Source organism: Homo sapiens, chromosome 8, assembly GCF_000001405.40.
Source record: "Homo sapiens chromosome 8, GRCh38.p14 Primary Assembly".
Lineage (NCBI taxonomy): Eukaryota > Metazoa > Chordata > Mammalia > Primates > Hominidae > Homo > Homo sapiens.
In genome coordinates, this window is record NC_000008.11 from 133,091,478 (window position 1) to 133,111,669 (window position 20,192).

General features: G+C 47.8%; 2 protein-coding genes across 12 annotated transcripts in view; one reads left to right on the forward strand and one right to left on the reverse strand.

The window, feature by feature from the left end:
- SLA (Src like adaptor) overlaps nucleotides 1–11,125 on the reverse strand; it is a 65,875-nt gene extending 54,750 nt beyond the window's left edge. For all 4 annotated transcript variants that reach the window (NM_001282965.2, NM_001282964.2, NM_001045557.3 and 1 more), the window contains exon 1: nucleotides 11,076–11,125. Coding sequence is in view for 2 of the 4 variants with exons in the window: in NM_001282964.2 (NP_001269893.1) it covers nucleotides 11,076–11,086 (11 nt within the window). In the remaining 2 variants the exon portion in view is untranslated. The remainder of the gene's footprint in view (nucleotides 1–11,075) is intronic.
- The window catches only part of TG (thyroglobulin), a 267,942-nt gene that overhangs the window by 224,520 nt on the left and 23,230 nt on the right, over nucleotides 1–20,192 (forward strand). For all 8 annotated transcript variants that reach the window (NM_003235.5, XM_017013794.2, XM_006716622.4 and 5 more), the window contains 2 exons: nucleotides 3,567–3,731; nucleotides 4,729–4,896. In NM_003235.5, the coding sequence (NP_003226.4) occupies nucleotides 3,567–3,731; nucleotides 4,729–4,896 (333 nt within the window). The remainder of the gene's footprint in view (nucleotides 1–3,566; nucleotides 3,732–4,728; nucleotides 4,897–20,192) is intronic.

The window sequence follows — 20,192 nt, forward strand, 5'->3', positions numbered from 1 at the left end:
CTTTGCTTCTTGGAGCTGCTCTGGGGAGGCTGCCTGAGGGATTCCTCCCGGGAAATGCTGCAGGGTCCATTTCAACAAGGGCAGCTTTGTGTGTGTGTTTGTGTGTATGTGTCTGAGTGTGTGAGTCTATCTGTAGGTGTCTGGGTGTGTCTATGTGTGTGTATCTTTGAGTATGTGTCTATGACTGTGCGTGTGTGTCTCTGTGACTGTGTGTGTTTGTGTGTCCTTCTGCACTTATGTGAGTGTGTGTCTATGTGTGTGGGTGTATATTTCTTTCTGTAGCTGGATGTTTCTGTGACTGTGTGTGTTTCTAAGTGTGGGTCTCCCTGTGTCCATGAGTGTATGCCTGTGAGTTTTATGTGACCATGAGTGTCTGTGTGTGTAAGTGTGTATCTCTGTGTGAGTGTGTCTCTATCTATGACTGTGTGTCTCCATCTGTGGCTACGTCTGTGTGTGTGTGTGTTTCCATCTGTGGCTGTGTGTCTGTGCACGTAAGCATATGTCTCTGTCAGTGTCTGTGTGTGTCCTTAACCCACTTAGACAAACTCCAAGTCTCCTGGTGCTGCTTTAAAACAAAGCAAGTCTCCTGTGTTGTGTGATTTCCAGCCAGTGGCTCACTCTGATCTCCAGGATTTTTAAAAGAGAAAGAGAATCCTAACTCCCAGGATCCTCTGAGAAGTGGTACCAATAAACTCCTTGATTGCGTGAGTGTGTCTCCATCTGTGGTTGTGTGTGTGGATATGTGTGCTTGGCCAGGCGCAGGCCCTGACTCCGAAGCAACTACAGTGACTAACTGAGGTCAAGGCACCTTACCATGTTCGGAGGCCCGAGGAACAAAAAGCAGTGGTCAGCAATTGTGGTTTTGACCTGAACTATTTTTAAAGTTAAAAAAACAACAGCCAGTGGAAACTCCTCGCCATTGAATAGCTAGGTCAGATTTAGATAAAGCCGGAGCCCAGGGCTGTGGACCTACAGGCATGGCTGGGTGGACTGAGAAGACCTGATCCCTTTACATCCTGTGGGGTCCCGTGAATGTCACTGCACTAACCACAGTGCAGCCACAGCTCCCACTGTGCAGAGGACACGCTTCTTCACCTACCTGGCCTCATGCATCTTTGCAGCAACCCTATAACGTATGGTTGATTGTTCTCATCACAGATGGTCACTTGCCCAAGCCCACTTCATCAGGGAGTGACACAGCTGGGGTTCAAACCGAGCCCTTCTGCCCCAATCCCATGCTCTCTACACACCTCTGCACAGCAACTCCCCTCCTGCCCCCGAGTGCTTTGTCTCTAATCAAGTGCTTTAAAATGAAGGCTGAGTCAACCGTTGGCTTGCGTAAACACCAATTTTCCACGGTGAAAAAGGTTTCCTTCAGAAAGATCAATTTAAACAAAATACTTTAAGAGAAAGAAACATTCTCTTAGCCATCTTGCAATATCAGTGTGACCCACGCCTTTAACCACTTCCTCACCATATCAGGATCCCTGGCTTTTTATAGCCGAAGGAAATATTGAAACCGTCAGTGGGGGCCCCATCCTGACATTCACATCTCCTCTCTGCCTGCCTGTGGGCCCTTCTGCTGTTTGCTATTCAGAACACGGAGTTTTGAGCTTGAATATTTTGAGTGTGTGTGTGTGTGTTTTCTTTTCTTTTCTTTTCTTTTTTTTTTTTAATTTAAAGTACATCCAATGGTTCTTAAAAAAAGCTGCCCTGCTCATTGTTGGAAAAATAAACCTGAGGGCACAAGAACTCAACAATAGGCTAAATCATATTGACGCTTGTTCCTTGGGTCATTGAATTCCAGGCCTTGGCCTGGCTGAGTAGTTTACTTTTATTGCTGCTGCTTATCAGAGGATCCTGGGAGTTAGGATTCTTCTCTCTCTTTTAAAAATGCTGAGAGCAGAGTGAGCCACTGGCTGGAGATCACGTAGCCCAGGAGCCTTGCTTTGTTTTAAAGCAGGACCAGGAGACTCGGAGTTTGTCTAAGCGGTTAAGGACAGAAAATCACGTGTATCTCCCAGCCCTTTCTGGAGTCTATGGACCTAGTTGCCAGGCATGTTCTGAGAAGCCCAGAGCCATTACAAAAGTTCCTCTGGCACCAGGTCTCACAGCGGCCGTGTCCAGGATCCCCCAATTCCATGCACTTGTGTTTTTCCTTGCCACTGGCTGAGATTCTGACTGGCCTTGCCTCTGACCCTAGCCACATGTCCCTTCTTGAGCTTGACAATAAACAGAGATCATCGTAACAACAGTGCCACCACCTTTCATCAGGAACCTACCAGGTGTATGAAAGGCCACTTCACAGTGGCTCAGTGTTTGGCCGCTGGGGTCAGATCCCAGCCCTGCCTCCTAACATAACTGTTACATGGGACAGTAAGAGCAACCGACTTATACAATTGCTGTGAGGGTCTGATGAGCTGAAATAGGGAACCTCTTGAGTGAGTTTGTCGGAGCCCTCAATCCACAGTGGTTGCTATTATTTCCATCAGTGGCAGTAGCAGGGGTAAGAGCAGTGGCACTGGTATCACCACCACTGCCTCCCCTGGTTACCCATGACTCTTCAGTGGGCAGCCAGTGTCTGAGCTACGGGGAGCCCCATAGCGGATGCACCCTGGAACTGCACACTGGTCAGGACCCCACTCAGCTCATTTGTTCCTCCCAGGCGGATGACCCAATTCTACCAAAAGTCCGGGCAGAGATGAACTTCCTGGAACCCAGCTCCTACCACTTTCATTATTAGAAAGAAGAAACCTGTCGTTTTCTTTTTTTTTTTTTTTTTTGATGGAGTCTTGCTCTGTTTCCCAGGCTGGAGTGCAGAGGTGCGATCTCGGTCCACTGCAAGCTCCGCCTCCCGGGTTCACGCCATTCTCCTACCTCAGCCTCCCAAGTAGCAGGGACTACAGGCGCCCGTCACCACGCCTGGCTAGTTTTTTGTATTTTTAGTAGAGATGGGGTTTCACTGTGTTAGCCAGGATGGTCTCGATCTCCTGACCTTGTGATCCGCCCACCTCAGCCTCCCAAAGTGAGAAACCAGTCATTTTAACAGAGAGTACCCTGATTTTGATGAAGCAATTTACCCTTACAAAGACTGTGTTTTCGTCACCTCCTAGGTGGGCTTCCATTTTAAAGTCCAGCTCCATCTTAATGCAGCTTGCTAGTTAAGGAGCCCCCCAGGAGGTGCTGGTGGGAGATGGTTCTATCTTTGCAGAGTTCTCTTCCCAGAGGACTTTGCCACAATCTCCGATCCTCTTAAAGAACCATCAGCCCTTTGCCTCTATATACAAATTCATCTGCACAGCCAAGACTGAAGGTTCCCTTGTGCAGCACCCTCACTTCACAGGTTAGGAAACTGAGGCCTAGAGAGACATCTTCAGTATCACACTGCATGCTGATATGCTGTTGACCAATCCTTATCTTCCCATTGTGTGCAGCCCCAGAATGGGTCCTGGGACTCCCAAGCTTGGAGGAAGGATGCAGAACCCTGATGTGGCACTGAGGACTCCAGGTGAGCAGGGGCTGAAGATGATCTGAACCATCTGCCCTGAGCCTGCTTTCTCTTCCAGGGAGGCTCCGCACTCTCCCCGGCCGCCGTCATCAGCCATGAGAGGGCTCAGCAGCAGGCAATTGCTTTGGCAAAGGAGGTCAGTTGCCCCATGTCATCCAGCCAAGAAGTGGTGTCCTGCCTCCGCCAGAAGCCTGCCAATGTCCTCAATGATGCCCAGACCAAGGTGAGCACTTAAGTGCAAGTTGGGAAGGGACATTCTCTGGTCTTTTACAAATAGAAAATGAAGACCTAGGAAGGAGGTGTCACCCACCCCAGCCATACCACACATGAGGCTGATGACCAACTGGAGCTGGAACTCACATTCCCTAGCCCCTAGAGCTGTGCATGCGCCACAGCCTGCAACAGTCCAAACATGGGCACTGAGGGTAGACAGATGCCTCTGCAATTTGTCTTTCTTATTTATAACATGGGAATAGTTATACAGACCTTATAGAGTAGGAGGAGAAAATGAAGTCACACATGTGAAGGATTTGGCCTCACTCCAGGACCGTGGTGGGCAGGGGACCAAACCCTTAACAGGTCACAGCTAGATGTGTTGAGTATTGCAGACATGGCTTCACAGATGGCAGTGTATTTGAGTCACTTCACTCCCTTATATGGGATAGCTGTGTGTTCCCTTTATAGCATGCAAAGTTCTTGCTTGCAGACCAAATCTCTGGCTGGCCTTCACATTAATGAAGGGGACATTAGCAGGAATAATTGTCATGGCAATTGATGGCCTGATCGCCTTAGCAATGAGTCTGGACTCACAGAATTGGAGCAGGTCTTATTCTCAGCTCCCCTAAGTGCAGGCTAATTTGATCATAGCTGGAGCTGGTGAATTTCACCTGTCAGAGTCACTGCCTCCTCTTCAACCACTGTCTCCTCCTGCCTTCCTCACCCACCTACAGGCTCAGGCTTTCCCATCCCTACCTGGGGATCTGCTGTTACCTCTGGGATGCTCCCCTGGAGACCATCATTGCTGAGAGTGAGATTCATTCACCCTCCAGCCCCTGACTTTGTCACATGGTGTCCTGCCTGCCAGTTGTCCTGGTCACTTTTTCTCAGTAGAGTCATAGATGGATAACCAGTATTGGCATTCAGTATGGTTAAGACCTCTTTATGCAAAGCAGTGCAACTGATTATTCCAGGACAACTGATTATTGTTGCATCCAATGCAGCTCCTGGCCGTGAGTGGCCCTTTCCACTACTGGGGTCCTGTGATCGATGGCCACTTCCTCCGTGAGCCTCCAGCCAGAGCACTGAAGAGGTCTTTATGGGTAGAGGTCGATCTGCTCATTGGGAGTTCTCAGGACGACGGGCTCATCAACAGAGCAAAGGCTGTGAAGGTAAGCAGGGAGGGGGCCTCGGATGTCTCCAGCTGGGCATTTCCTAAGGGCTCTGGACCTCAATGTCTGACTTGATCAAGAGATATTGACCAATTGCTGAGTAACTACTGTGTGCAATGCCTATGTGAGTTTAGGAGGTGGTAATGGGGGGATTTAGAAATTAGACACTTGCAGGGTAGTGAGCAACACAGGCACATCCACAAATTACAGCTGTGAATGAATCGCTGTGGAAAACTGGAGCTGACCCAGAAGCTCTGCAGCTCAGGGCTGCAAGTTAGAATACCCACATTCTGGACCATGCCACCCATATTTCATGGAGGATGCTTGTTGTACTGAGAACTGAGAGATGATGAGGCAGGGAGATGAAGGGACTCTTGTTAAATCATCACCCTTTCCCAATCCTGAAAAAGACACTGAAGCACCAGGCTTCCAAGTTAAATTTCCTAGTAAAGAGAGCACGCACAATGCACCTGGCAAACACGCAGCTTTGTGTGGCTTGCTGGAGGCACAGTGAAGTGGGAGTGAGCTGGGAGGTCTTCAGTCTGCTTGAATGCACAGTTCCTGCTCTCGCCAGAAGTTACAGCCACTCACTAGGATGTGGCTAACCCTGGAAGAGGCTGAGCACATGCTCCTCTGCCCACCCCACCCTGCCTTGGACAAGCTACTCTTGGCCAAAGCCTTGTAGGTGGTCAAGCCTACAGGGAAGCCCAGTGTGCATAAAGCACAAAGAGAGGACAACTCTGGGCGTGGGTGGAGTGCACCTTCCCCTGCACATGCATGACATGGGTCTCTGTTGGCTCTGTTGAATATAAGGCAGTCTAACCGGAATTTTATTAAATCATGAAAGCAACCAAACAGGATCCTGAGTTCCTTTGGATAATCCTGTTTCCTTTGGGTAATATATTTCACCTTGGGGACTCTATCCTACAGCAATAAAAGCTCCAGTTTTACATGATATATATACAAGAGTATTTATTGCATTGCATTGTTTATTGATTGATTGTGGCATTGATTATTGTGGCAAAAAATTGGAAGCAACTCAAATGTCCATTAACAGGGAAATGGTTGACTAAATTAAGATACAAACAAGCTATTAAATATTATGCAGATATTAAAAAGAATGAGCTAGATTTATCTCTACTGGCTTAAGTGATGCCTCTGACACATTGTAAAATGACAAAAAACATGTAGAGGAATGTGAAATTAAGATAGCATTCATATTTTTAAAAACCAACCTGTATATATCTTTATATTTGTAAGTGTGTATATTTGTATGTTTTTCTGCATAGAAGGATAACTGAGTAAAAAGATTCACAACATGCAATTAACATTGGCTACCTCTGGAGATGTAGAGATGTGAGAAAGAATATTATGCATTATTACTATTGCTGTATATATATACACACATGCATAATGTGTTACATATTATATATATTTATGTGTGCGTGTGTATGTAGAGAGAGAGAAAGAAGCAGGGCTGGTGAGGTTTGCATGTGAAGTTGATTTCTGAAGGTTCCTATCTGGAAGGTGGGTGTGGCATGTGAGCAGCGATAGAGTTCTCTCTGAGGGTGTATGAGTGAGTGTGTGTGTGTTGCAAGGGGGGGTGTCAAGTAAAACTTAGTCACCCTCAGCTTGCATCTAGCTAACTCACAGCCAGGGCAAAATACCTTTTGTACCTGATCCATTTCAACATTTTTTCTGCCAAGCACTCACATACAGCATAGCCCTTACCCTGAGGGGCTGAGATTTTATTATTGGACAAGACAACCATTCAGGAATCACTGGAAATGTGCCACTCTCCTCCACTGCCTCAGAGTTTGTAGTCTCTAAAACAGGGATCCTCAAGTTGCTTCTGATCAAGCCCCTCATCAGTTAAGAAATAGTAAGTTTAGTTATTTAAGTATAAATTATATACATGTGTACTCTTGTACTAATACCCTGAATTATTATAAACCCTTTATTGAATCAAAAGAATGTTAAAGCAAGAGAAAGAAATGGAAGTTCTAGTCTTAGTATTCTCTTGCTGCCCCTAAACACTGTCCGCCCTGGAGACAGTACTCTGAGGCATGGGCAGACTGGGATGGAGCTGGCCATTGACCAGGGACAATTTCCCACTCACCTCCTTATTTGATACCCTCCTACAGGGGATGCAAAATCTCTGTGCACAAGACACCATGTCCTCACAGCTCTGGTTCTTTGGACCATGTACTGAAAACTTTTCATGGCCATCTTCGACTTTTGAAAGAGAGGAAGAACTAATTTTATATTCCCAGGAGCCTTGGGATCAGCCTAGAAAGGGCTGATGGGGCTAGGGAGGAGGGCGGCCCTGTGGTTAGTTCCCAGACCTCTCCCAACTCAGTGGAAATGCCATCCATCAGGGAGGGTGAGGGGGTTGTTCTTGTTGGCAGATCTGGGACCATGGTGTTCAGAGGGTAGCCCAGGCTCATGTTTTCTGATTATGCCCGTTCATTGTGAGAGGGATGACTGTGGGCTCATGGCTGCCTTGGGCTTCCCTGGTTCAAGCACGGTCCCAGGAGTGTCTAGAAGTTTCCTAACTTTGTCCTGAATTCCTTAACCAGTCCAGCCAGAGACCTGAATCCAGAGGACTGGGATCTCTACTCAAGGATGCATTTGCATTCTTCTCATTGAGCTTCCCTCTAAGGTTTTTAAGGAAAGCTTACTTTGTTTACTTGCAAAGAAAGATGGGGCCACCAGCAGGAGGCTCACTGCCAAACAGGGGCCTGGCTGGAGAAGCCAGCATTGAAGTTGGGCACCCCCAAATAGAGAAGCCTCTCTAAGGGCACAGCAGAGCAGCTGCTAGCCCTGCTCCATGGCGGTCATCCCAGACACCAATCACAGGGCAGTGTTCCCCCAGCACATTTGTTCATTGGTTAGACCGTTCGTTTCTGGCTTCGCTTCTTCATTCATTCCCTTGGGACACGCATTAGTGAAGCCACTGAGCAGCTTTTGTGAGCCTGCATCCTGCCAAGAACTCATCTAGGTGCTAATTGATGAGGAGGACTACCTGCAGCAGGAGAGTAGTGACGGTGGGACTGGAAGCCAGCTCACAGCTCAGTGCCACTGCATGCAATCATCTCCTAAACATGTGTCTGCACACAGATTTATTCCTCCTGGACTTTTCCCTTGAACTCTGAACTGGTTTAGCCAATGGCCCACTTGACATCTTCACTTACATGTCTCATAGTGTCTCATCCATAACACACCCAAAGTGGACTGCCGATTCCACCTCTGCTCCCATCCCCAACCAGCATGTTCTTCTGTAGTCTTCACCATCTCAGTAAACAACTCAGCAACTAAACAACTCATCCTTCTGTACTCAGGCTCAAAACCAAAAGTCATTCCTGACACTGCTCTCTCATACCCTACCAGCATTCTATCAGAAAATCCAGCTGGCTGTATTTTCCAAATGTATCCCAAATCCAAACCCTGCTCCCCTACCTCTTCTGCTATCACCCTGATCCAGCCACTTTATTTGAGATTTTTGTGCTAGCCCCCAACTCTCTCTCTGCACCTGCCTTGCCTCTTATAATCTATGAGAAGCACAGTAGCCAGAGCAATCCCTTTATAAGTCAGACCATTTTACTCCTCTGCTCCAAGCCTTCTCTCCAGTGGCCTCCTCTCATGCAGAGGAAAATTCCAGTCTTCTATGAACTGCCAGAGCCTATTTGATGTGACCTCTGTTAGCTCTCTGACCTTAACTCCTGCTGTTCCCTCTTGGCTCACTGGTTTATCCCTTTAGAGTTTCTCAAATAGGCTGAGCACATCCCATATCAGGGTCCTGGTACTTGCTGTTTTTTCTTCTGGAATGTTCTTCCCAGACAACTCACTGCCTTACTCCCTTCAGGGTCTGCTTATCAGAAAGACCTTGCTTGACCACTTGGATTCAGAGGGAAGCCATATCCCCAGCCTTCTCTATCCCTACATCCTACACCCTACCCCAGCACTCAAACCTCCTGCCATATTATGTATTTGTCTGTTGTCTTTCTTCCCCAACTAGAATGTTTGAAACTGCTATATCTCTGGTGCCTAGAAATGTTTCTAGTTCTGCTAGACAAATTGCACACAGCAGGCACACAATAGACATTCACTAGGATGAATGAATGAAATTATGAAGAACTGACTATGTGCTGGGCCCTAACCTGGAAGTCTTCAATGAAATAATTCACCCTCACAACTATTACCCTATGAGGTGGGGATTATTATTACTATTTTTCAGAGAGAAACCAGAATTAAAACCCAGTTCTATCTGCCTCCAAATATCCTCTTCCCATGACGTCACTCTGGGAAAAGCCAGGCTTTCCTCTGAGAGCCTTCCATCTACCATCAACGGTATGCTGGGTACTGAAATGTACACAAACCCAGCTAGAATAAAGGCTACTATGTGCAAAGGGCTTTCCAATTCTACCCACATTCTTTTTTTTCTGTAGTCATTTATTGATTTATTTATAATTTTAAAATTTCAATAGCCTTAGGGGTTAGCCTAAGTGAAGTAACTCATGCTCTTACTTTACGTTATCTCAACTGTATGGCTGTGAGGTAGGGAACCATGAACCAGTATTTAACACGATTTTTTTTCTGGGAAAGAAAGGCTTAGTGAGGTTTACCGGGTGTCTCTAGGTCAGCTAACTAGTCCTTTGGAAAGCCAAGTCTCCACTGCAGGTCTCTGACCCCAATTGCAGGGCAGGAGTGGGGAGGGTGGCGGGTGGCAGGCTCTACCCATTACCCTATCTGTGATAAACACTAGGTCAGGGATGCGCTATCACCACCTTACCCCCACCATACGCAAGCATCACCTAGAGAGATCCTCAGGATTCTACCCCACACAGAACTGCAAGAGGGCACAGTGGACAACCAAGTGGAAACTGAGTTATGAGCTATGCTCCCACCCTCCCAACAGTGAGGAAACTCCTCTGGACTTCAACCCAATGTGCCCTTGTATTGCCCTCCCTTGCCTCAGCCCACTCCCAACCTGAATTTAGAGTTGGGCTTGTGCATTTCTCTGTTTGCCCCAAGAAGGCTCCATGGCACCTGGGTCCAACCACCATCAGCCAAGGAGGACCTGAAGATGGCAGGTTCTGGAGGGCCTCAATCTCAGCCATGCCTTTTACTCCATCCTCTGTCCTTTGATACCCACCCAGCCCCTCCTGCCCCATCTGGGGCTGAGAAACAGGACATATCAATTGCAGTAAATTGCCACATCCACCTAAACAGGGTGTCCAGCATGTTTTTGTAACACCAACACCTGTTTGTTTAGTCATGCTGGGCCAGGTGTTTCAGCATAAAATACAAATTGAATTCCTCCCCTCAGAAGGGCTTGCAGTCAGATGATAACAGACAAGGCAAACAACTGAAACACCATTGATACATACTATATGGAGAGATGGACATCTATTCCAAGACCTCAGGAGGTGGAGATCAGGTGCCATTGGGCCCCATAGCAGCACTGTCAGCTGGAGTGACACAATGGCCAGGAACTGACCAGGACCCCGCTCCCTTGGTCATGTGTCAACACAGCAGGGAGAGTGTCCTGGGTGTCCTTGGATTGCAATCACGAGCATCCAAGTTACCCAGAGTCTGAGCCTCAGTTTCCCTATCTGTGAAGTTGGGAGATGATTAGTAAATATCCTCATAAAGATGTTCAAAAATTCAAATACACAACAATATCTGGAAAATAGTTTGGCTTCAATAAATGTTCGTTCTTTTCCCTTAATTTTTTAATTTTAATATTAAGATTAGTGTCCAAAGCTGTTATCCCTTCTTCAGATAATTATACACAGAAAGCAGGAATACAAAGAACGTCCAATCTCTGAACCACCTCAGCTGACCTGAGACCAATTTTCCAAATTGTAGTAAACACAAATGCATGCTCTCTACTCATGCCAACGCTGCATAAGTATCAGCTGGATCCCAGTCCACAAACACATGCAGTGCAGCTTCCCAGGGAAGTCACGGAGGGACAGGAGTGGAGCCTCTTACCCCAAGTCCTGCCCCCTGGAGCTACTCACCACCAGCAGAGACCCACCCATTTTCTTCAGACCAAAGACGGAGGGTGGGTACAGGATCCATCAAGTCCCTCTGAAGACCCTCCCCCACATACCACCCCAGGCCACCTATGGCCCACCCAGGGGGTCCCAATGACAGCAAAGTTAGCAACCTACCGGTGGAGCATCAGGGCTGCCTGAGATGTTCTCCATTCGCAGCAAATGATCTTATTTTCTGAAGTAGCAGCTTTCTATTGAAATTCTTCATCAGTCGCTGTCATGGGGAATTTCTCCCCCTTTTCTCTTTCTTTCTAACTGGTGAAATTGACAGTCTGCCTACATTATCCAGGCATTCATTTGCATGATCAAAAGCAGATTTGTTCCAAGATGCAATGTTCTGCCTTCCCTTCCAAGCACAGGCATCTCCAAGGAAGGCGAGAAAAATCAGAAACAGAGCGCCTCCGCTGTGCCCCTAAGCTTGGCCAGGAGTTGGCCTCGTCTGGGAGCAGGTGGAGTGGGGGCCCTGTGGGTAGCAGTAGGGGGAGGGCAGCCCATGTGGGAGTTGGAAAGCAGCACCTGGCAGCCCGAGGCGCTGGCACGAGCCCCAGCACAGGAATATCCAGTCTTTGGTGACAGATTATAGTAAGAGGAGTATGCAGGAGTTTCCAGTGTGTGTGTGATTTCCTGAAAGGAGGCACTGCTGCCTTAAATCCCCAGCACTCAGGGACGGGAGGGTGTTAGGGTCTGAACCCAGGGCATCGCGGGGACCTGGATTCAGAAAAATGGGTCACAATTCTTAGCTTTAGCCACACGATGTAGGAGAGTTGCTGAACTGGTCTGAGCTGCAGTTTCTTTAGCCTTCAAATGGACACAGTGAGAGCCACCCTGTCTGTCTCTTGCAGTGTTATAAGAAGCGAAAGAGGTATCTCCCAACACCCAGAGAGCCCTGTAGGTCTCATGGCTCTAGGATGCCCTTGCACACTGTAAACCCTCCACCCTGGAGCTATAGCCCCACATTACCCCTCACAGCTGACGCTTACACGTCACGTTGTCTAATTCTCCCCAGGGGCCCTGTGAGCTGGGATTATGGTTCAGAGAAAGCTGAGGATCAGAAGGACTGACTTGTCCCCCCCAAAATATTAAAATATTGTATTTCATGACTGCATTGTTATAAGGATGAATGTAAACCAGGCTGGATTCATTATTACATTTTCATTATTATTATATTTTTTCTTCTGATTTTAAAAGAAATTAGAAAGAAAAGACTTTTGTGAGTTCCTAAAAGTGCAGTGAGCCCTTGGCCCTGAGCAAGCTGTGCTTGATGGAGAAGTAAGTCCTTGTCCCTTAACACCATAAGGAGCAGTGAAGTCAGGAGTCATTCAAGCATTAACCCATGCAGCATCTCTCCAACATAGATTATTCAGAGGCTTCTGTGCGCTGGACTCTCTCTAGGCTTTAGAGGGCACAGTTGTAACCTAAACAGATAAAGCTTCTGACTCGGAGAGTTCATGTTCTCATGAAAGGACACAGATGATGTAAGTAAATAAAGAATTTCAGATCTTAGAAATGCCCTGAAGAACACTGAAGTGGGGCCATTGCAGAGGAGGCGATGGAATGGGGCAATTACTTTAGGGGCAGTCAGAGAAGGCTTTTCGGAGGAGGTGACTTCTGGACTGAGGCCTGAGCAATGGGGAGCCAGCGATGGGGATTGAGGTACAGAGTGGGTGCAAAGGCCCTGGGGCAGGAGTGGTCCTGGCTGTTTGGGGGTCACAGGGAGGTCAGTGCTAGGAGATCCAGTGGCCAGTGGAGGGACTGGGAGGAGAGGAAGTCAGAGGGATGAAGAAGACCAGTTATGAGATCTTTCAGGCCATCAGAAAAGTGACTTTATTCTCCTTGCAGTGGGCAGTTACTGGAATGTTTCAAGCTAATAATAGAAGGTGATTATATTGATCCACTGTTTTAAAAAGGAACATTTCTGGCAGCTATATGGAAAATTGACTAAGGAGATGTGTGACCCAGGAAGTAGAGATCAGATTGGGCTCTATTGTGGAAATCCAGGGGTTGAGCTAGTAACTTAAATTAGGGTTGCAGACATGGTCACAGTAAAAAATGATCAGATTTGGGATATATCTCGCGTTGGCAGCTGACTATATGAGTTGGGAATTCAGTAGAGAGGTCAGGGCTGTAGATACAGCTTTGGAAGAAAACCAAGAAAATGCGGTATCACAATAGCCAAGAAAAGAAAGCATTTCCAAAAGGAAGCAAAAGTCAAATGTCACAGAGTCAAGAGAGATGAGGGCAGAGATTGGGCTCTTGTAGGTCATGGGAGACCTTGATGAGGGCCATTTCAGTGGAGTAACGGGAAGGAAAGGCTGATTGGAATAGGCTGGGGGAAGAGGGGAAGTGAGGACATGGTCACATTGCTTCCCAAACCCACCCTGTCTCCACTGAATGATGCTCTCCACTGGATGCAAACGGCCACCCAGGATTCACAGAGCACTTTGCTCATTCACCAGCTGACCCCACTGACTTCACCAAGCTCTGCTCCATGACAGGAATTGTGTCATGTCCATTTGGAATCCTCAGTTCCTACTAGGTTGGTCTTCAATTCATGTCCCTCTAATGAACAAAGGAGTGTTGTGTCTCCATCTACCTCAGAGCTCTAGAGAATTCTGGAGCATTTGTGTATTCATTCACTCATCCATTCATATAATCTTGCAAGAAGCAGGTGAACTCTGGTAGGCTTCCTACTTTTCTGGTGGGGATTCTGCTCTGTGTCTCCTTCTTCCCCAACCTGTGATGTTACAACCATTTTTCAAAAATTGGAGCATTATCAATGAGCAAAAATTGACTACAGGCTGTCTGTGTACAAACCATTCCTCCCCTAAGCCCCTGCCAAGAGCAACATCTCTGCTTCTGCCCCAGTGTGGTAGAGGAGATGTGCTGTGAACTAGGACAGCAGTAGGGGTGGACCGGAGGTGGGGGCAGGTGTCACTCAGGATGAAGATCGTAGGCACAGGCTACAGCAAAATGTAGGGGAAGAGGGGAATGATTTTAGGAGCAATCAGGAAATACCTGTGTTTTAATCAGGTAATTGAGGGCTGGTCTTAGTCACTAAGGATAGGGAAATAGCAGGGGAAGAAGGTTCTAGGGGTGAGGAAGAACACATATGGATGACGAAGATAAATTGTGCCTAGGTTGAGTTTGAGGGGCCTGAGAGATTTCCAGGTGATGTGAGGCATTTATATGAAGGTATGAGGTTCAAGCTGGAGAGAGATTTGGGAATCATTAGCTTAATAGGTCATTCTTCAAGCAAGGAGAGGAAATGGCCCCACCCCACAAGCATTCGTGGACAGAATGGGAGGAAAAGGGGACAGGGTGGCAGCTGGGAGCCTTGGCTTTCAAGAGTAGTCAGAGACAGCAGAACGAGGTTCCAGAAATTAGGCTGAGGCAGAGCTGACTGGGAGGAGGAGATGGAGAGGTGGGGGATGGGGCGTCTACTGGTGGACCTCTGCAAGGTTATCAGTGACCTTGATGGAGGTTGGGGTAGCCAGATGGCCATATGGTAAAGAGGCTATAGGACAGTTGGAGCCCACCATGTAGACATGCTCTTGGAGTGCACATCTAGCTGAGAGCACCTGGATGAAGCAGATGGAGGAGACCCTCCTGTTGGGGACTGCCAGGCAGGCACTTTAGCTCTAGGTGGGGGTGGGACTCATGGAGAGCTGCACACTGAAGGTCTGAAAGAGCCAGTGGGGGGGTTTGCCCAGCGAGGGGCTCCAGGGCTGTGGGCAGCAAAGACTGAGCCTCAGAGAGATGGAGGGCCCTCAGTCCAAGAGGAGGAAGGGCCATTCCCTGAGGAGAGGGCAGTGTGGCCTGCAGAGTGCGCTGGCCTTGGGGTTTGCAGCAGGAGGCAGGGCCAGGGGGAAGCAGCGCTGAGGGGCCAGTCGGCTCCTTACTGAGGCTCTGCAGTGCCTGGGGCCAATGCAAGGACACCCAGCCTGGCCTGCTCTGTGTTCCATGCTCTCTGGCAGGTCACATTTGCAAACCAGGATGGGGAAGCTCTTCTCCCAGGTCCCGCCTGAAGCAAAAAAGCAAAAGGTAGGGTGAGGCTCTCCCAGCCACCCAGCCCTCTGTTCTTTCTGGCTTCTCCCCTGCTCCTCTGCCCTCATCACTCCACTGACCCCGTGGACCTCGCTGCTCCCCCTCACCCAGCTGTCCGCATGTCTGAACCCTACCCTCTCTTGTCTGGACTCAACCATCCTCCACGCTGCCTAACCCAGCTCCCTAGGGCACAACTGGGACCCTCACTGCCCAGCACCCCCGTCCCCTTTCCGGCTTCCTGTTCTATGCACGAATCTTGTTCCTTATCACCCCAGGACAGTCCATATCACATAGATGTGCTGTATATTGTCAGCCTGTCTCACAGAACTAGAAGCCCCATGCAGGCAGAGAACAGCCCGATTGTTCGCTGATGTGTCCCAAATGCCTCGAGCTGCTCCTGGCATACTCAGGCACTCCGAGCATAGTTGTTGAAGGGACGGTAGGATGAACAGCAAGGGCCTGCAGCCATGTGTTCTCATCGTGTCTCTCAGACACCACTCGGCGTGAACTAAAGGGCATTTCTCACCTGCCTTGCTGATTTTCTTTTTAATCATTTACTAACTAGAGGGAAGAGAGAAGTCATATTTATTGTCTCCCATGTGTCAGCCTCTTTATAATCATTAATGCATTTCGTTCTAACATCAACCCCATTTTATTGACCTGAAATGAAGGCACAGACAGGCATATCCACTGAACACATTTGTTCATTGGAGGTGAATCTTCTGAGGCCACAGAATAGAGCTAGATTTGAACCTGAGTCTCTCAAATGCCAAATTTCACATTCAATCCACTGGGCCCCAAGACATTCAGGTTGATGCTGAGGCCCTGCTCAGTCCCTCGGTGTTTCCAAGGGCTCTTACTTTTCATTAGGATGTGTTAATGGCAGTCCTTTAAAAGCACACACCAAGGAGTGGCCAGTTCATGACAGCCCTTTGTGTAATTCCTGCCTGTAACAAATCTACTGTCTAAGGCAGACCCCGCCTGTAATTACAGCTTGTGGAAGTCAGCACATGCAGTCACACGGTGGCCCCCACTCCCGCCTGCTGACTCTCTAATTAAACTGGCAATGGCATCTGTGCTCGGGGCCTCGCCAATCATGAAGGAATGTGTGTCCCAGGTCTTGCTGAAAATGTGCCCCTTCACATTCCCTTGCACCCCAGTGGGGCTTGGGAATTTATCTCCCACTATTTGGGAGACAACTTTTGGGTCATCTCCAAAATATTGACCAGTCATCAAGGCTGCACCCAATTAGTGTGTCAGATCCCCATAAAATGTGGAACTCTAATCTCAGTCTCATGGGAGCATAAACTGGGCCTCATCCCTCCAGCTACCTGGCTGTGAAGGTGTTCTAGATCATTTTTTGCAAGAGAGACTTATTTTTGCAATGCCCAGGGCTTGGTGTCCTAGCACTCCTAAAAGCTCATCTTAGAAGGAGTTTCCGCAGAACCCATGAAGGAGGCTCCATCCATGATTGGGGCCAGTCCTTTTTCTTTTCTTTTCTTCTTTTTTTTTTTTTTTTTTTGAGACAGAGTCTCACTGTCACCCAGGCTGGAGTGCAGTGGTGTGATCGTGGCTCACTGCAAGCTCTGTCTGCCAGTTTCACCCCATTCTCCTACCTCAGCCTCCCAAGTAGCTGGGACTACAGGTGTGTGCCACCACACCTGGCTATTTTTTTTTTTCGTATTTTTAGTAGAGATGGGGTTTCACTGTGTTAACCAGGATGGTCTCGATCTCCTGACCTTGTGATCTGCCTGCCTCAGCCTCCCAAAGTGCTAGGATTACAGGTGTGAGCCACCACGCCCGGCCTGGGGACCACTCCTTTATCTAGCAGGGGTTTGGAAAAAGGGTTCCAAGTGTTTGGGCTCAAGCTCAGTGGGGACAAAGCTCTGCTCAGGCCTCTCTCTCTAAGACATGGACTTTCCCTGGCCTGTCTGAATGGGGCTCAAGGCTGAGTCTACAAATATCTAACAACAAAGACAATAGACACAGTGCTAAGCACTTTGTAGGTTTCATCTCATCTAACTTCATGACAGTTTTATGATGAGGGTAATTTGTTGTGCCCATTTTACAGATGAGGAAATAGACATAGAGCGATTATATAACTTTCCCAAGTTCATACAGCTAAGAAGTCGCACAGTTACCCTCCAAGCCCAGACCTTTCCAACTCTGGGATTTGAAACCCAAGAGGTTTGACTTTAGCATCCTACTTTCAGCCTCTAACCTGTATTATCTCTACAGAGGTCGTTCATTCAATGCATATTTACCTATGACATGCCTGTCACCATACTGAGCACTGGGGCTATGGACACAATCCCTGCCCCCTTTGCCATGTAGTACTCTGGAACAATAGGCAAATAAACTAACATCACAGCACCTGGGTCCTGAGGGCCATGGGGGCCCCTGGTTTAGCCCGGGACAGGTTAATAATCATCACTCAAGGTTGTTGACCATGTGCCAACTACTGTGCTAAACACTTTTAATGCATGTTTCGTTGGGATCTGTTAATAATTCATGCAATAGGCATTTTTCATTATCCACCTTGTCTAAAGAAGGAAACTGAGCTACAGAGAGAGGCAGCAATTTACTCGGGGTCCTGGAACTACAAGGTAGTTCTGCCCTTTCAACCATTATCTCTAGAGCCTGACCTTTCAACCATTATCTGTCCTGTTTCCTGGAGGAGGTGAGCCCTGAGCAAAACCTGGATTTTCTATTATAATCTGATTGCTGACTGTGAAGTTCCCAGGCCAACGGCATCAGCATCACCTGGGAGCTTGTTAAAATGCACGTTCCTGGGCTCCACTCTGGACCTGCTGAGTCAGAATCTGTATTTTATCAAGATTTCAGTCTACTTTAACGCTTATTGGATTAAAAAGCATGTGTCTAGTTCAATAGCTGTTATCCAGGCAAACTAGGGAAAGGTGTTTAGGCAGGAGGAACAGCAGGCGCAAAGGCTTAAAAGTACGAGAGAACATTTGGTGTTGAGGAAACAGCACTCCTCACGTGGCCTGGGCATTTTGGTAATATTTCAGCAGCCTAGTTCTCAGGAGTCACAGAAATTGAAGGCCAAGTGGCAGCTCGTCTGGGTGGCAAGGGCAAAGCACAGCTGGGTTTGTTCCCCACCTGTGTGACTTACTCAGCTGTGTAAGACAGCACTTAGCCTCTCTGAGCCAGTTTCCTTGTCCACCCCCTCAGGATGGTTATGGGAGCAAATGAGAAGAGGGTGCACCAGGGACCCAGCACAGCATCTGACACGCAATGGGTGCTTGGTGCGTGGCACTTGTGCTGACCTCGGCTACTCCCTTTGCCGACATGACTCAGGCAGCATCATTCTCACCCCTTGGCAGTCTCCTCTAAGTTCCAGCAAATGGCATTGCACAGGGAGGAGACAGTTTATGAACTTGTTTTACTCCTCTGCAGCCCAGGAGGCATTGGTATCTTGGCTAGGGCTCTCACTATGACCCCCTCATGTTATGTATGAGAAAATGGTGCCCAGAGAGAGAAAGCCACTCTCTCAAGTTTGTACAGTGATTGCCAGATAGCGGGTGCTGGGACTTGGAGATCCTGGTGCCCAGACCTCAGTATAGCTCCCTCATGTTAAGATTTGAAGGCAGATTATGCCTGCCACGTAGCAAAGCAGCCTGGGGAGAACCCACTTTAGTGCCACTGCACCGTTGTCCTTGTACCCTCCTGGGCTCCCAGAACTGAGTTCTCCCCACTTCCGCTCCAGCCCGGGGCATTAGACCCACCCAATATCTGAGGTGGGGGCATCATGGATTCCTTCTTTATAAAGCATCTGTGAGCAGTACTTGGCCCTCGAATTTGGCACCTTCTGCCTTCCCCACCTGCCTTCACTCATCGCCCAATCTCCTTGTTCACAGCTCAGAGCTGAGCAAACAGGCTGCAGCATTGAGACAGCCACTGGAACGAACTATTATATTTTCTTGCACAGTTTTTCAAATATTCATATTATTTATATGAAGGAATTAGCATAGAAATAAAAGCAAGAGAGCCTTCTTCCATGAAGATAGATACACATAGCATTTTTTAAATGCTTTCTTCATCTAATAAAGCGGTTTGGGGCCCTGTGTTAATGCTTCAGTTTTCTAATTGAAACCAATTAAACCCATGATGGATACAAGTAGGTCTCTTTGATTAAGGGCGTATGCCAGACTTTGAGTGAGGTGCTTCAAAACGTTATTTCTAATTCTCAAAACAACGCTGTGAAATAGATTTTACTTAACTCCATTTTGCCTATGAGAAGCCTGAGGATTAGAGAGGCTAAGTGACTTGCCCAAAGCCACACAGCTGGGAAATGCAAGAGCTGGAACCCAAATCTGGGTTGCCAGCTCCAGGCCATTGCACCTTGCACTGAGACTTCCTAGCTCTTCTTAGCCCGCACCCACGAACAACCAGCCACGACTAGGAGTGGGATCCTTAGCAGGCGACTGCTTTGTTCACTTCATCTTCACAGGAGACAAAAACAGGGCCCATATGAATACACACAATACATTCACATTTGGAAGATGTCTGGCTCAGAGAGAGGAAAAAATATATTTTCCAAGATCCCCCCAAATTTGGCAGTTAGCACTTGAACCCTAAGTTTTGACTCCAAACTCAATGCTCTTTTCACTGCTCTGGGCCAGGCACTTCATGGGCAAAAACCACCCATCCTTCCATGGGCCGAGGTCCCAGTGTCCACAGCTCTGATGTGGGGTCCTGCTTAAGTTATAACTGGGGGAACGAGCCTGTCTCTTACCAGCAGTAAGACCTGGGGTTAAATCTCACCTCATGCATCCTGTCTGTGTGACCCTAAACAAGCTAGGCAGGTTCTCTCAGCCTCAGAATTATGGTTCATAAAATGGGATAACATCGTGCCCAATTCACCTTGTTATTTTGATGCTTCCTCGAAACATATGTGTGAAATGTTTAGCACAAAATTTAGAAATAGTAAGAGGGGTGCCAGTGGGTTACTAATATCATTTTTGTAATGAAATATTCCAGGCAGAAAAGGACAGAGAATATAATGCAGTTTTTTCCCTAAACTATTAGCAGGTTGTAGAGTCCACAAAATAGATTGTAGGTGAGTATTTTTTGAACAGACTAGACTAGACTAGGGTAGAATAGAATGGAAACTCTCAGATGCGTTGTAGATGGTAAGAGTATGGAGTGTGAACATTATTCGTGAGTGCT